Source organism: Homo sapiens, chromosome 1 (assembly GCF_000001405.40).
Source record: "Homo sapiens chromosome 1, GRCh38.p14 Primary Assembly".
In the NCBI taxonomy this organism is placed as follows: domain Eukaryota; kingdom Metazoa; phylum Chordata; class Mammalia; order Primates; family Hominidae; genus Homo; species Homo sapiens.
The window spans coordinates 161,956,714-161,972,173 of NC_000001.11; the positions used below are offsets into that span (position 1 = coordinate 161,956,714).

Consider the following 15,460-nt stretch of genomic DNA (forward strand, 5'->3'; position numbering starts at 1 on the left):
TAATGGGAAATTTATCATCAATGAAGACTATTTTAAACATTGGAACAAATGAGTGACCAACAGAAGTGGAGGAATTATGTATTCTATTGGATTTAAAATAGAATATATCATCTGCTCAAGACACTTAGAATTGATAGATTAGATCTGTCTAATAATTTTTAACTCTTGGGGGTCACAGACCCCATTCAGAATCTGATGGCCCCTCTCTCCAAAAACATGCACACACAAAACTTTGCGTATGATTTCAGGGAACTTACAGACTCCCTGAAGTCTATAAATTAGACCTGAATTTAGGACACCCTGGACTAGATGATCTCCAAAAGTCTGTTTTAGCTCTCTAAGTGACAAGCTCCACAGCATAGTTGTCCCATACATAACAATGGAATCTGAAGACCAAATGTCAGACTTTGCATTTTCTTCCTCCAGATTTGTAATGCTTGGCATGCTCAGTGTCAAAGTTAAAAAAAAAAAAAGTAGAATAGAAAGAATTCTACGTTTAAATTCAATTCTTTGTCTTGGAAAAGCCAAACATTTAATTTTAAAAATCACTGGTTGGCTCTGTGTCATCTTTGTAGAAAGGCAGTACAGAACTAGGTTGTTGCCGGCAGTTCTTCCCCAGCCCCACACCCCGCTCTGGATTCATGGATGAAAATGCAAACTCAGATGCCATATTAAGTACTCAGAATTCTCCCATGTTCACACATCTTTTTACTGTATTGCTGTGATTGTTCAGTTGGGCTTGAAAAATATTATTTATTTTCTCATCAGTTTTATGTCTAAGTTTCATTGACTACAAGTTGGAAGATGACCACCCAGAATTACAAATCAGGGAGTAATTTGGTCCTCTCCCTAAAATAAAGAGCTTTTATCCTCTTAAGAAGTAGGAATGGAGTATAGTCTGTGTCTGTGTATTTTAAACTCATGATAATGAGTTGCCCCATATGTAGAAAGCATGACTCTATATGGTTTTCCCATTCCCTTCTGTAAATATTCTCTAGCTTACCTGCAAGTTCTGTAGACTCCCTTTAATTCCATGTTGGAATTGTACTTGACACTTTGTGCCTGGAATCAGGAACTCTGGAAATAAAGATCGCCTCAATATGGAAGGGAAGTGATCTCTGGAAAAGAGCATAATTGTCAGATGTCTATAACTTGTCAGTTTTCACTGTACCTCACACTCCTAATGGCAAACCTTTAAATTCATAGTTGGAAGTGTCTTAATGAAGTCAGAAATATTACTGATGAATAGGAGCTAAGCGTACTTGGCCAGGGTCTCCTTACCATTCACATGGAATGCTGGTCCTTTTGACAGTTGTTTCTTCCCATTGTTGAAGGCAGGGAGGAGGACTTAGGGATTCTTCTCTGTATTCCCCACTAAAAAGCCCTTCTGTTCCAGTTGCTCCAATCAGAGTAATACACTGCACAGAAAGCATACAAGATATACGATGTCTGTGGACAGATGCTCTGTGGCATTATTAACCCTGGCAGTTGCTTTAGCCGTTGTTTAGTCAATGGAGGTTGTTTGGGAGCTAGAATTGGGAGAGAACAGGTGATCCTGGCACCCAGCCCACTTGTAGCTCTGCTTACTGACTGAGAGTCCCTCTGCACCCCTTGAAAGTTTACTGACAGTTCACACCCTTAAAGCACATTTCTGTATTTCTGGGGCTGAAGCTTATGGCAGAGATGCACATTCTGTTGAATATTTATTCTTTGTGTATATTCCTGTCTGCAGAGAATGTGATCAATGGGCAGGACTACGAAGTGATGATGCAGATTGACTGTCAGGTGATGGACACCAGGATCCTCCATATCAAAAGTTCGTCAGTTCCTCCTTACCTCCGAGATCAGCAGAGGAATCAAACCAACACCTTCTTTGGCTCCCCTCCCGCAGCCACAGAGGCAACCCACGTTGTCAGCACCATCCCTGAGTCATTACAATAGCACCCTGCAGCTATGCTGGAAAACTGAGCGTGGGACCCTGCCAGACTGAAGAGCAGGTGAGCAAAATGCTGCTTTCTGCCTTGGTGGCAGGCAGAGAACTGTCTCGTACTAGAATTCAAGGAGGAAAGAAGAAGAAATAAAAGAAGCTGCTCCATTTTTCATCATCTACCCATCTATTTGGAAAGCACTGGAATTCAGATGCAAGAGAACAATGTTTCTTCAGTGGCAAATGTAGCCCTGCATCCTCCAGTGTTACCTGGTGTAGATTTTTTTTTCTGTACCTTTCTAAACCTCTCTTCCCTCTGTGATGGTTTTGTGTTTAAACAGTCATCTTCTTTTAAATAATATCCACCTCTCCTTTTTGCCATTTCACTTATTGATTCATAAAGTGAATTTTATTTAAAGCTATGCCACACATGCATGTTCAAATGGTTTCCACTGATTCGATTTTTCATTCATTTAATGCAAACCCATTCTGGATATTGTGCTTATTTGAGAAAACACATTTCAAAACCAGAAAAGCCAAAAACACTCCAAAAACAAGCAAAACAATTTGGAGCTTTAGATAAAAGGAAAAACTCCCAGTTGGTAAAGTTTATCTTTACTTAGGATTTGTGGCTCACACCTAAACAAAGGGGGTCAGGGAGTGGGTACAAATTTGAGAAAATAGAAGGGTAAGGGAAGGGCCAGTGGTGGGGTTTGGAGAGAGGAGATAGCTCCATTAATACACATGTTTAAAAGATGGAAAGTTCACGCCTGTAATCCCAGCACTTTGGGAGGCCGAGGCGGGTGGATCACGAGGTCAGGAGATCAAGACCATCCCGGCTAAAACGGTGAAACCCCGTCTCTACTAAAAATACAAAAAATTAGCCGGGCGTAGTGACGGGCGCCTGTAGTCCCAGCTACTTGGGAGGCTGAGGCAGGAGAATGGCGTGAACCCGGGAGGCGGAGCTTGCAGTGAGCCGAGATCCCGCCACTGCACTCCAGCCTGGGCGACAGAGCGAGACTCCGTCTCAAAAAAAAAAAAAAAAAAAAAAAAAGATGGAAAGTTCGATGTGACTGCAGTATGAGATTAAAGCCACAACTATTGTTTATTTTGGGGACTCTAGGCCACCAAGTATTAGCACACATACTTATGTTTTCTCTACTAATCTGGTCCAGGTCCTCATGGACCACAGGACAAAGCTTTCATTTTCATTCATTCTTCTATTGAAATTATACCAAATTCAGCTGAGGAATATGGAAGTAACTTTAGACTTAAACAAGACAAAAGTTTTTTCACTGAAGAATTGACAAGTATTTGCTCCTTAAAACAACGCAGATTAGTGAACGTGGATTCCTGCTGAGGGAGTGCATCCCATAATATGGCAATAATTTTCAGTTTCTCCAACGAAAAGATAGTGAAGGAATTAAATCTTTTGTCCTCCCATGGTTAAAAAAAAAAAAAAAGCTGTGTTCATTTTTACTGTACTATGCCTCTTTTTTCACCATAGTAGACAATTATGTTTCATTTGATGAATTCATAGAACTGGATCTCATACAGCGATGTCCTCTCTAATGTTCTACCTTTCAGTTTCTAAAGTGAGTCTTCCTCCCTCTCCTACAAAACTTTTCAATTTTTTGATGTAACTCATCTACAAATACTGTTTCTTACCCCAGTTGACTTGCCTTTGTCAGATTTCTTCTTGTTCCACACTATAGCAATCAATTTCTCTTCTTCCTTACAAGAAAGGGAACGAGAAATTGTAGCAACCTCTCAAGGATTATATGCAGCTAGTTAGTTTTCTGCCTGTGAAATTAGGTCTGGCTCCTAAATAATTTTAAAGAACCATCAGCACTTCTAACTCTCTGGACAGGTGCCTCTTTGTCCAAGCTAGTTAAATGCTTTCCAAGGAAATCAGTTCAACTTTTGTGAGCGGGGAAAAGCAGGGCTTTATTGTTGTGTTACCTGGGAGTCTGGAGTTTGAAAAGTGCTAATTAACCTTCCTCTTTTTCCACATTACAAACCTTTTTAAGCAGCGCAGCACTCCCCTTAGATTTGGCTATCCTGGGTGATTTTCAGACAAGAACCATTTTCTCTGGGGACCATTCTTCTGCTGGGTGCCAAGGAATATAAGGCAAATGCCCAGAAGACCTTCAGGTGACTGGGCAGTCTTATCATGGGATATTTCTTCTGGCCCTGCCCCTTCCCATTCTGTAATGTGAATTAGCCACACCAGAGGCTGTGACCATGGCTAGTAGACAGTGGCAACATAGTCATCCCCAAGATGCTAATCTTCTGCTGGAACTGTCATACGTTATCATGGTCAATGTAAACCTGGTTTGTGTGGGGTGATTATAAATAGAGTTTCCCTCCTCTCTGTGACAGAATCACAGGAGAAGGACCCATCTCGTGGCCTTCTTGTTCTTAGCGCTTCACTTTTACTTCATCCCTCGATTCCCAGCTTTTTCTATCATCATTTTGCCAACTCCTCAGATGCAAGACTTTGGTTATGTCATACTCACCAACGTTAGTCCCTCTCTTCCAGGTGAAAAGGTGGGTAGCGGTTGGGAGGGAGTCTCCACTGAAGAGCAGGAAGGTGGTAGCAGGGCCGGCAGCTCTGCCACAGAGCTAGGGGTGCCTGTAAGGTGCCGCCTAGAGCAGCCTGGGAGCTTTGCCTTCTTTTGTCTCTCACTAGCCCTTCTACTCTTTGTCATTGCCTGTTCTTGAGTGGATCTTTGAAATGAGGGGACAGGATTCTCCTAAGGGTAGAGTTTCAGGAAATGAGTGAAAGGCAATTGACAAATGCAAAGAAGTAGTCACTTTTTAAATTGCTGGCAAAGCTATAATTAATCCCTAGGCACAATTGTAGTTTTTATTTTAATGTTTGTATGCACAAGGCCCTTTAGGAAATGAGAAGTTGCCATGCCAGATTAATTTTTTTTTTTTTTTTTGGTGGGATTGCCTTTTGGGGGTTGCAGCCAGAAATTGTGGGTAATGTGTGTATTTTTTTATTTATTAAATTTTAAACAGGATTGTGCAAGCTTATGAGACAATTAGATAAACTCATGGAGGAGGCAGGTCCTCCTGTTATTAGATGATTTTGTGCTCTTGGGGCTGACAATAATACACTCTTGGGAAGTGATGGTAGAGACTGATGGGAATAGTCTTTCTGCCTGGTTGCAAGTCCCAAATTTTTAAGGGTTAATGGAAGTAAGTGGATGTTTCCTCATGTTAACTACTGAATCAGATGTTAGGAGCTTGTCCCTTTGGGGTTGACTTATGCCCAGCAGTACAGGGACACAGCTTCATTAGAGTGTTAGTGTAAACTAACTCCAAAGTTAGGAGTTAATGTGAAAGGATCATCCTTGAAACAAATCTGCTGTTTGCCATGCTTGTAGTACAGAAACTTCACATGGAGTTTTGGGTGGGATTTGTGTTTTCACAAGTAAAAAATCCCTCACGATTATAAAACTCAGAGCATCATCTAATTTTTTTTTTTAATGACTACAAGTTCCAGCACAAAACTGGCATTTCTTTGCCATTTCTTGCCAGTAAGAAGTTGACACGGAGGTATTTGAAAGCAATGTTATGTGAGTCATTCTTAAGTGTTCCAAGTAAGTTTAGAAACAGAAAAGGAACTTGGGATTCAAATTGATTTTTCAAATCATTTTTAAAGAGACATCATCCTGACTAAATCTTAGCCTGAACCTTCCTCCCCTGTGTGTATTCCCCGGTAGTCACCGCAGCGAGATGCTGGTGAGACTGCCGTGGTGGCATTTAGCATCGTTAAAACTGGAAAACTCTCAAGCTCTTTGCCACTTTCCTACTATTTTTTGATTCTTGCCATTTTACCAAGCTTAGGTTGTGAAACTTGACAGAAATGTATTACAGGAAAAACTTATAATTGTATTTGACTTTCTAACACATTGCAAAGTTTCAAAGTGACTTTCACTTTCAACAACATATTAGAAGTAACCACTTTTGCTTTCACAGCCTGAAGAGTTAGAGCCTGATCTGATGCCCCCTTTCACTCTGAAGTCATGGGAAATTTTCCAGCCATGAAAGCCCTCTTTCCACTGCATACTGATGGGCTGACTCAGCTTCCTTCAGCCGACTGAGATCTTTTCATACTATTGGCTATTTCATACCAATTAACCTCTTAAATAAGATTGTGAATTGCCAAAATTGATAGACACTTATTACCACCTGTGGACTCCATATTCCTTACCACAAATGTTATTTTCATCAGTCCTGAGTCATTTTAACTTACAGAAATTAGGATTGTTGCTGCTAATATGAATACCAATTATAACTTTTAGAAACAAGAATAAAGCCTAAAAGAGAATGAAATATAAGAAATGTTCGTTCCCACCCCTAATAACATTTGGAAGTGAATATTCCCATTTTCTTCCACCCACAGGGATTGGGATTGATTTTTAATTTCCTAGGAAACAATACTAGACTACCCAAAAAGATGTTGCCAGAATCCAAAAGGAACTATGCTCGTAAAAGAAATGCAGTTTTCTCCTACCTAAAAAAAAGAAAGTAAAGTGTGTTCTGTTCTTATCTTTTTAATGACTAAGCTTTAAACAGTTTATTTTGGGTAAGACTAGAACTTTCGGCCATTTGTTCTAATATGTGTGTTATTAGATGCAATAGAATTTATGAAAAGAAGAATGACAAAGGTATCTGATTAGAAAATTTGATCTTACGCATGAATCCATGTCATGGCCAGCCACTGTCACATAGTGGGTGCCATTCTCAACATATTGGTTTGCTAACTTTAAGCATTAGGGATTTAGCACACTAAAATACTTTTAATTATATTAGGTTTGGTAACTAAGGAGTAAATAAATCATAATTTATCATTTGCCAAGGCCAACAAACAACACTATTGTGCTGTTTGCTCTCAATGAAGTTGAATAAACCAGGAGGCTTGGCATATCCCCTTTATGTTAATCCCAGCTAGAGATTAGTAGGTTGACTTTCACAGCAATTGTATATTGATCCATTTTAACTCATCCTTGCCATAATTTCCAGGCCAGTCACCAGGACAGAGGAGATGATGGGGAAACAGAGCTTTAGATGAAAACTACTATGCACTACTAGCCTTAGAGGCACTGGTTTCCTGTTACCACTTTGGCAAGTATGGATGGTCTAAGTCCAGTAGGGCTTCATCCATGGAGCCATTAGAACTGAGGGGGGAGTGTTAGAGATGCCATTTCACCAGGATCTTTTTGCTCAGGTTGTACCCATGCCAATTGAAGAACGTGTTAAAGATGAGGAGGAGAGATGTACCATTCTCTCCCTTAATAATGATGTTGGTTTGCAAAACCTAAAGAAATAATAACAACAGACTATTTCATACTTTCAAGCAAGTCTTTATACTACCTGTTATTTCTCTAAAATTCAAATAAAGAATTTTTAAACTTACCTTGTTTATTCTGTATGTAGAAAGAGAGAAAAAAGCCCCCAAATGAATCTTCAGTGTTGGGGGGTTAGTAATGGGAAAGGAAGCCTGAAAAGGCTTTGTGGCTTGTGTTACTGTTCAGATGAAACTGTTGAACTATTTTCCACTCTTCTCCCAAGCCTAATTAAGTAAAAATTTCCTTTATTTAAGTGTCCAGATATTTAAACTACAATCTTATCAAGGAAAAAAAAATCTAAAAACCCATATTTTATCTATGTCTTCAGGAAAGTGGGTTACTCGGTCACGCATCTTGTCCTCACCAAAGGCCTCTTCCCAGCTTGCAATGGCAAATGCCACCACACCTGAAGCTAGTCACTGCAGACTGACAGCAAGGGATCCATCCAGGAGTAATTAATGCAGGCATTTACTGAGCACCCAATGATTACCTCTGACACTGGTTTATTAACTATATTATCTTATTTCAATCGTCTCTACATCCTATTTTGTAAGATGGTTATTAATAAGTAGTGGAGCTGGCTGGGTGCAGTGGCTCACGCCTGTAATCCTAGCACTCTGGGAGGCCAAGGCAGGTGGATCACCTGAGCTCAGGAGTTTGAGACCAGCCTAAGCAAAATGGTGAAACCCTGTCTCTACAAAAAATACAAAAATTAGCCAGGCATGGTGGCAGGTGCCTGTAATCCCAGCTACAAGCTACATGGGGAGCTGAAGTGGGAGGATCACTTGAACCCAGGAGGCGGAGGTTGCAATGAGCCAAGATCACATCACTGCACTCCTGCCTGGGTGACAGAGTGAGACCCTGTCTCAAAAATAAAAATTAAAAAATAGTGGCCCAATATTTGGGCCCAGGCAATTATGTGAATTATTCACCATTATATTATTCCACCTGCTGATACATAGATCTGGCATAAGTTCATGCCCTAAAAGAGCTCACAGTCAGCCCATGGAGCCATATACATAAATTACAAAACTACAATAACATCAGGGTTCTCTGAGAGGCAAAACTACATTTGTTTCAGAAGATACTTTAATGGACTTATTTAGAAAATGAGACCCCCCCCCCGCCCCCTCATCTAGGAGACCAACCTCAAATCACCTCTACTGCAGACAAAGTTAGCAGAGATTGGAGGGTAGAGGGTTGAACAGCAGAAAAGAGAAATGGGACCAAGGAATAGGGCTGGAGACTAAAGCCCCCAAGGGGAGTGTCATGAAAAGACCCCCTGGTGGCAGGAGGGCAAAGGACTTTTACAAACTGTGATGCTGAAATGCAAATCCTCTTCATTGCCCCAACTCTTCAGTAAAAGCAGATACACAGTTTTGTATCAATGTTGCCTTGGGAGTGAGAGACTGAAGGTAGGACTCAACATGATATTACTAGTGAAGAAGAAGACAGCACAGCAAGATAATTCATACACTGAAGTGTCAGTGGACGTCAGGTGAAACAGGGAAATAAAAACTTCCAACCCCCCACCCCGCCCCCACAATCTTTATGGCATTGTCCCCTGGGACTTCTCACTCTATGTGGGATATGGTTCAAGCCAATTTTTGAATCTCAAAGGGTAACCACAAATGACATTTGGGTTATATAATACATGGTATCATAGATAGAGGGCCTCTTTAGCATTTACCCTGTAATTTACCTAACTGGTCCAATTTTGGTAGAGATTTAAATCACTTCCAATGTTTTGCTCACCATAGGAAACCTATCGCATATTTCACTCCGTCGTATTCATTCGGCATGATCTGTGCAAATGCCTGAAGAGAATCGTTCTCTTAGTTCAGTTCAGAGTAGGAGCTGATGCTTATTGAGGACTTAACCTTCCAGACATCATGCTAAGCCTTTACAAGCATTAGCTCATTTGAACTTTGCAGCAAGCCTTCATCATCGACATAATAATACCTATGTCTGTGAATTACAGATGAAGAAATAGTCACAAGAGATTAAGTAACTTGCCCAGGATCTCACAACTAGTACATAGCAGAGTTGAGATTTGAAATGAAGTCTGTCATGATTTTAAAGCCACATTCCTTCTACTATGCTACATTGTCATTCATCCTTTGAAGTCATAAAGAGACAAATGAGTGAGGAAGAAACCAAGCCACACAACACAGGCAACCAGGGTATTGAGGCATGTTCAGGAAAGAGGGAGAGTCGCTAAGAGGCAAGGTCCAGCAGTACTCGAGGGTTTTCTATGAGTGACTCAGAAGGCATACACTCGATGCTGGCTGCATGCAGAGCCCATGCTGGGCTGCTGCACCAATTCTTCTAGACCTCAGTCCTTGTAGTCCCCATCTTGGACGAGTTACCCAGTGGGGTGGATACAAGCTGGCTCCTCCATAATTGAAGATCCTAGGCTCTCCTAACTCTCCTACTCTACTCATATCCAAAAGCCCACCCAAGTGTGGCATCCAGCTCCATCCCAGGATGTATCCACTGTTTTCCCTGTGATCACAAGTTCTATAGAAAGTTTTCACTGCAGAATTAACTGCTGATGTGGATGCTGGACTATGAAATAGAGATGCTTGTGTAAGAGATCACTAATCTGCAGACCCAAAATTGAAATGGTTTGTTTCAGAAGTGAAGGATATATCTTTAAAATAAATACAACACACCATATTAATAAATGGATCATCTTGTAAGATTGAGTGCAGCAGTGTCAGTCCTAAAAGCTGTATCCATTTGGAAGGCGGACCTTGCAAGGCTAACAGAAAATACTGTTGCCAATTGTTTACAGTACAGCCCATATTTCTGCAAACATCAACTGGGTACAAAGGAAGAACTGAGAACCTCAAAAGCCATCTCAGATGCTCCTTCCCTAGGTGTCCTGCTTGACTTCTGAAGCCTCCGAGTTATCTCCATTTCCTGAGCACCCAATGGAGCTTCGATTCTTGGGCTGCATTTCTTCATAGTGGGCTAGAGGCAATGGCCCTGGAATTTAAACATTTGCCACTAGTTCTAAGTGTTGTGCGAAGCTCCAACATCTACCATGGAGCTGTAGGAAACCATACAGATGAACTAGACAACATCCTTGACATGTCCTTTACATGTCTAGACACATGAGTTATGTCTCTTCCATGGGACTATGTGGTCACCCTTCTGTCCCCACAGAAGAGTAAAGATCATTTCCAGGTGAGGGTAAGATTTCTGGTCAGCCTGAAAAAGAAAGTTCAGTTGGACACAAGCTACTCTCAGGAGAGTTTGGGGGTGGGAGGTTCATGGCCAGCATCTTTGCCATGGGCACAGATCTCACCCACTCACTTGGCTGCTGGCCCCAGGACATCAAATGATCCATTTCGCCATATTGTCTCTGGTTTCCTGGAGTTGCTGGAATTCTTCTCTGCTAAGCCATTCGTTCACATGAGATCGACATGTTGTCCCCTTCCGCCTGGCAACCTTTAGGAAGACGGAATTACAGCAACCCCCACACATCCAACTAGGCTGTCTCCATCAAATCACCAGCTAGGGGGAACAGGAAATTCGTCTTAATTTAGACAATATGAGCAGGAAAGATGCTGAAACACTTAATCTCTTGTTTTAAATGACTCTACAGGTCACCACCCAGGGGAGCACAACTAGAAGCACATTGCAAGTAGCAGCACGGTTGGGGCCGATTCCATCTTCCCAGGATTTATCATCTGGTACAAGGCAGCAGGGCTCAAATAGTCCAAGGAAGGAAAAGGCCACTCATAGAAAGATTGTTTTTGTTGCCATAGCAGCATCTTGTACTTATCCCTTCCTAACTCCCATCGCCTTTGCAATTACCAGGTAAACATTTATCATCCCTGTGGGACAGTGAGCTCCAGAAGAGCAGGAACCCTACTAATGTCTTGAATTCGATTTTTTTCCTCCAAAAGTGCTGTGGATATAGTGTGCTTGGGACATGGTGGTTTGGGCATTTTAGGCTAAATCAGGATTTCGTTGAATTATTGAGCATTTAGAAAGCCACAAATATACACTGTCCTTCCAGGAGTCTGCATGATAGACTGGCATTTGTCACACTGCACTAGCTACCGCACCCTATTCAGATATTCACAGGGCACAGAAGTTGCAGTATGTGCGATGCCCAGTGCTGAGGCAGGACTGCAAGGGAAAACAGCAGAGATCCCTGCCTTCCCTTAAAAGATGAGGCATCATTTGTTTTCCTCTTCCCCTTTTCTTTTCTTTTTTTTTTTTTTTTGAGATGAGGTCTCGCTCTGTTGCCCAGGCTGGAGTGCAGTGGCGCGATCTCGGCTCACTGCAAGCTCTGCGTCTGGGGTTCACACCATTCTCCTGCCTCAGCCTCCCAAGCAGCTGGGACTACAGGCGCCCGCCACCACGCCCTGCTAATTTTTTGTATTTTTAGTAGCAACGGGGTTTCACCATGTTAGCCAAGATGGTCTCGATCTCCTGACCTCATGATCCATCCGCCTTGGCCTCCCAAAGTGCTGGGATTACAGGTGTGAGCCACCGGGCCCAGCCTTCCCCTTTTCTTTTCATCCTATTGCTTTTTCCTCTGGCTTCAGTCTGTGGCATATTAGAAATGGGCCTGGAAAGAGGATGTAAACCAGCGAGTCTGCAAGCGGGGCCCTGAGACTGCAGCAGCACCTCAAAACTTGTTAGAAATGCAACTTTTCTGGTCCCAACCCAGACCCATTGAGTCAGACTCCAAGGCCGGGCCTAGCACCCTGTGTTTCAACAAGTTCCCCAGATGACTCTGAGAGGGGACTGAGAAACACCCGTGTAGTTCCCTGTCAGCAAGACTGGAGAATGGGAAGATGCAGACTCCTGCCAGAGATGAACCTTCCCCTGGCTGCTGATGTTGGGGTGGGTGGTAATATCAGGATCACCTGATGTCAGGAGTTCAAGACCAGCCTGGCCAACATGGTGGAACCCCGTCTCTACTAAAATACTAAAATTAGCCAGGCTTGGTGGTGCGCGCCTGTAATCCCAGCCACTTGGTAGGCTGAGGCAAGAGAATTGCTTGAGCCTGGGAGGCGGAGGTTGCAGTGAGTGGAGATCGTGCCACTGCACTCCAGCCTGGGCGACAGAGCTAGCCAGACTCTGTCTCCATTAAAAGAAAAAAAAAGCAAAGAAAGAAAAAGAAAGAATTGTGTGTGTGTGCTGCATTTTTGGAAGTCCACAGGGGTTACATCTTCAGCATCCACAGCCTCCATCCCTGCTGCTGCCACCCTGGGTGGCTGCACTCCCAGCTGAGAGGCCTGAATCAGGCCTGTGGATATAGTGTGCTTGGGACATGGTGGTTTGGGCATTTTAGGTGAAATCCAGGTTTTGTTGAATTATTGAGCATTTAGAAAGCCACAAATATACACTGTCCTTCCAGGAATGTGCATGATAGACTGGCATTTGTCACACTGCACTAGCTACCACACCCTATGGAAAAAGAAAAAGAAAAAAAGAATTGATTAAGGAATCAGATGCATGCACTCAGCCAAGTCAGCCACCATCCAGGCTCGGGGGATGCATCCAGGACGAGAGGCGGAACCGGCTGCTTGCTCCCCAACAGGTCCACAGCTCTCCTGGGCACTGAACTCCTGGGAGCCCCTGCTTCGAACCAGCACCCTTTGCTGTGGGAGGGGGCCGTCAGCCTCCCTGGAGCAGGTCTTCACTAGGTGGCTGGGAGAACCCCCAGCGCTGGGCAGGGGCACCCCAGAGAGAATGCTCGTGGCCCCTCCTTCGCAGCTCTGAAGGCAAGGTGTGTGCCCCAGGCTCCATGGGCAGAGTTGGCTAAAGGCTGGAATCCCCTTCACTTCAGCCCTAGCTTGGTGGTTCTCAAACTTTGCTGCACTTTGGAACCACTGGGGACCTTTAACAAATACTGGTGCGTGGCTCCCACCCCCAGACATTCTGACTGAATTGGTAGAGGGTGTGACCTGGGCATAGGAGTGTGAACATTTCCCCAGGTGATTCTAATGTGCAGAAAAGCTTGGGAACCAATGGACGCTGTCTTTTGAGGTCTAGTTCTGATGTTTATGGAGCAACACCATCCTAGAGGTTGAGGGTGGAGTAGGGTCCCTGGAACAAGAAAAAAAAATGCTTTTGGATAATCAAAGTCCAAACCTAGCAAACAGCTGGTAAAGAAAGGAGGGGAGAGAGGTAGGGGTGGGGGCTGGAAAGTGCTGGATTCACTTGTGGAGATGATGTCAGACATTCCTCTGCGATGTTAGAACGGGGAAATGCATGAAAATAACCATGGCTGTGAAAATGGAACTTTTTGGGAAATGGCATATTCTTGGAGGGAGAGGGAGCCGGGAGAAGGAGAGAGGGGGAGACGGAGAAAAGGGAGAGAGGAGAGGAGTGGTGGGGGGAGGCCCCGGCGCAGAGAGAATAAGATGGAGAGTCTGCTCCCAGACCTCAGGAAACTGGAAAAACAAAAACAAAAACAGAAAGATGTGAAAAGAACTGCAAAGGAAAGGAGAGAAGGTTTGGGTTGGGCAAGGAATGGGGAAAGAGGATAACTGCTGACACAGAAGAAGCCTGAAGCAACAGAAGAAACGGTAAACCAGGAGGGAGAGAATAGTACACAAACCACAAACAGCGGGCCAGCCAAAGCCACCCCACTTCGGGCTTTCAGGCCAGTGGGAGGCTGAGTGCACCCCTTCTCACAGCAGCCCTCAGGCAAGGGAGAAGACACTGCAATTTGCCTGTGTGTTCATTCCCTTCTGTCCTGAAGGTTCTCTCCCCTCCAAACTTTGCAGAGCTCCTAGAGGAAGGAGCTCTGGGTCTGTGGCTAGAAAGCCAGACCCTCCCTCTTTGAAATCTCCCTGCTGGGGAGCCGGCTTGTGCTGCCATGGCAGCCAAGGGGCGGTGCCCCAGGGACAGGCAGGTGAGTTGTGGGTGCAGGCCTCTGTCTCCGTGACTGTTGGGGTGGAGGCAGCTCCCCCTCTCTAAGGTTGGCACCAGCCTGATTCTTAGATCTTACCCTAATGGCTTCTCTCAGGGAGAGACATCCAAATATTGAGTCACAGGGGGAAAAAAAAAAAAAACTTTGAAGACAAAACCAAGAAAAATTATACAGGTTCTTAAATTCCTAGAGGAAAGATTTGACTCCAACTTTGTACAAAATCAGGAGACGCCTCACAAGTGGGTGTGATTGTAACCCACCTGCTATGACAAGCCATCAGCAAAGTCAAAATACCAGCCCATGACACGGCCCCTCGGTTCTCAGTGTGCCCTGGGAGTGGGCGGGCAGGTCCCATCTTTGCTAGTGGGACAGCACAGGGTGGAGCAGGTATGAAGACCCTCACCAGCCCAGCCTGCAATCAGTGCTCCCCACCAGTGGAACTGTTTTCCTGACAGTGTCAAGATAGGTGAACCATTTGGGTTTATTCAAAGCTAATGTCAACATCAAGTGCTTCATGATGCTGAGTGTATCTACCAGCCAGTTTCACTCTTCCGTAGCATGGCAGGCCCCTCAGCACCTGGGCTCAGGCTGTCCTTTCGCCCTGGACTGTCCTCTCCCCCAGACTGTCCTATCCCCCAGACTGTCCTCTCCCCTGGACTGTCCTCTTCCCCAAGACTGCCCTCTCCCCCCCACGACTGCCCTCCCCCCTAGACTGTCCTCTCCCTCAGACTGTCCTCTCCCCTCCCCTGGACTGTCCTCTCCCCCTGGACTGTCGTCCCCCTACACCTGCCCTCCCCCCAAGACTGTCCTCCCCCCCGAACTGTCCTCTCCCCTGGACTGTCCTGTCCCCTGGACTGTCCTCTTTCTCAGATTGTCCTCTCCCCCCCAGACTGTCCTCTCCCTCAGGCTGTCCTCTCCCTCAGACTGTCCTCTCCCCCAGACTGTCCTCTCCCCCTGGAATGTCCTCCTACACTGGACTGTCCTCTCCCTCAGACTGTCCTCTCCCCCTGGAGTGTCCTCCTACACTGTCCTGTCCCTCAGACTGTCCTGTCCTCTCCTTCTGGACTGTCCTCTTCCCCCAGACTGTCTTGTCCCTCAGACTGTCCTCTCCCCATGAACTTTCCTCTCCCCCCGGACTGTCCTCTTACACTGGACTGTCCTCTCCCCCAAGACTGTCCTCTCCCTCAGACTGTCCTGTCTTCTCCCTCAGACTATCCTCTCCCTCAGACTGTCCTGTCCCTCAGACTATCCTGTCCTCTCCACCTG

At 44.6% G+C, this 15,460-nt stretch overlaps 1 protein-coding gene across 4 annotated transcripts in view, besides 2 other annotated features; it reads left to right on the forward strand.

The window, feature by feature from the left end:
• The window catches only part of ATF6 (activating transcription factor 6), a 197,751-nt gene extending 190,394 nt beyond the window's left edge, over positions 1–7,357 (forward strand). For all 4 annotated transcript variants that reach the window (NM_001437597.1, XM_011509309.1, NM_007348.4 and 1 more), the window contains exon 16: positions 1,733–7,357. In NM_001437597.1, coding sequence (NP_001424526.1) covers positions 1,733–1,941 — 209 coding nt within the window. In that variant the 3' untranslated portion in view covers positions 1,942–7,357. The remainder of the gene's footprint in view (positions 1–1,732) is intronic.
• Positions 14,504–14,673: an enhancer, noted in NCBI's record as "experimental_558 CRE fragment used in MPRA reporter constructs". NCBI's record gives its function as "activates a minimal promoter by MPRAs in K562 erythroleukemia cells, with activity observed for the non-introgressed 1:161941092 or rs61809500 variant allele {active_cell/tissue: K562}" and the evidence as "EXISTENCE:reporter gene assay evidence [ECO:0000049][PMID:34662402]".
• Position 14,589: a transcriptional cis regulatory region, noted in NCBI's record as "Neanderthal adaptively introgressed variant 1:161941092 (GRCh37/hg19 assembly coordinates) or rs61809500 in the experimental_558 CRE". NCBI's record gives its function as "modulates activity of the experimental_558 enhancer by MPRAs in K562 erythroleukemia cells {active_cell/tissue: K562}" and the evidence as "EXISTENCE:reporter gene assay evidence [ECO:0000049][PMID:34662402]".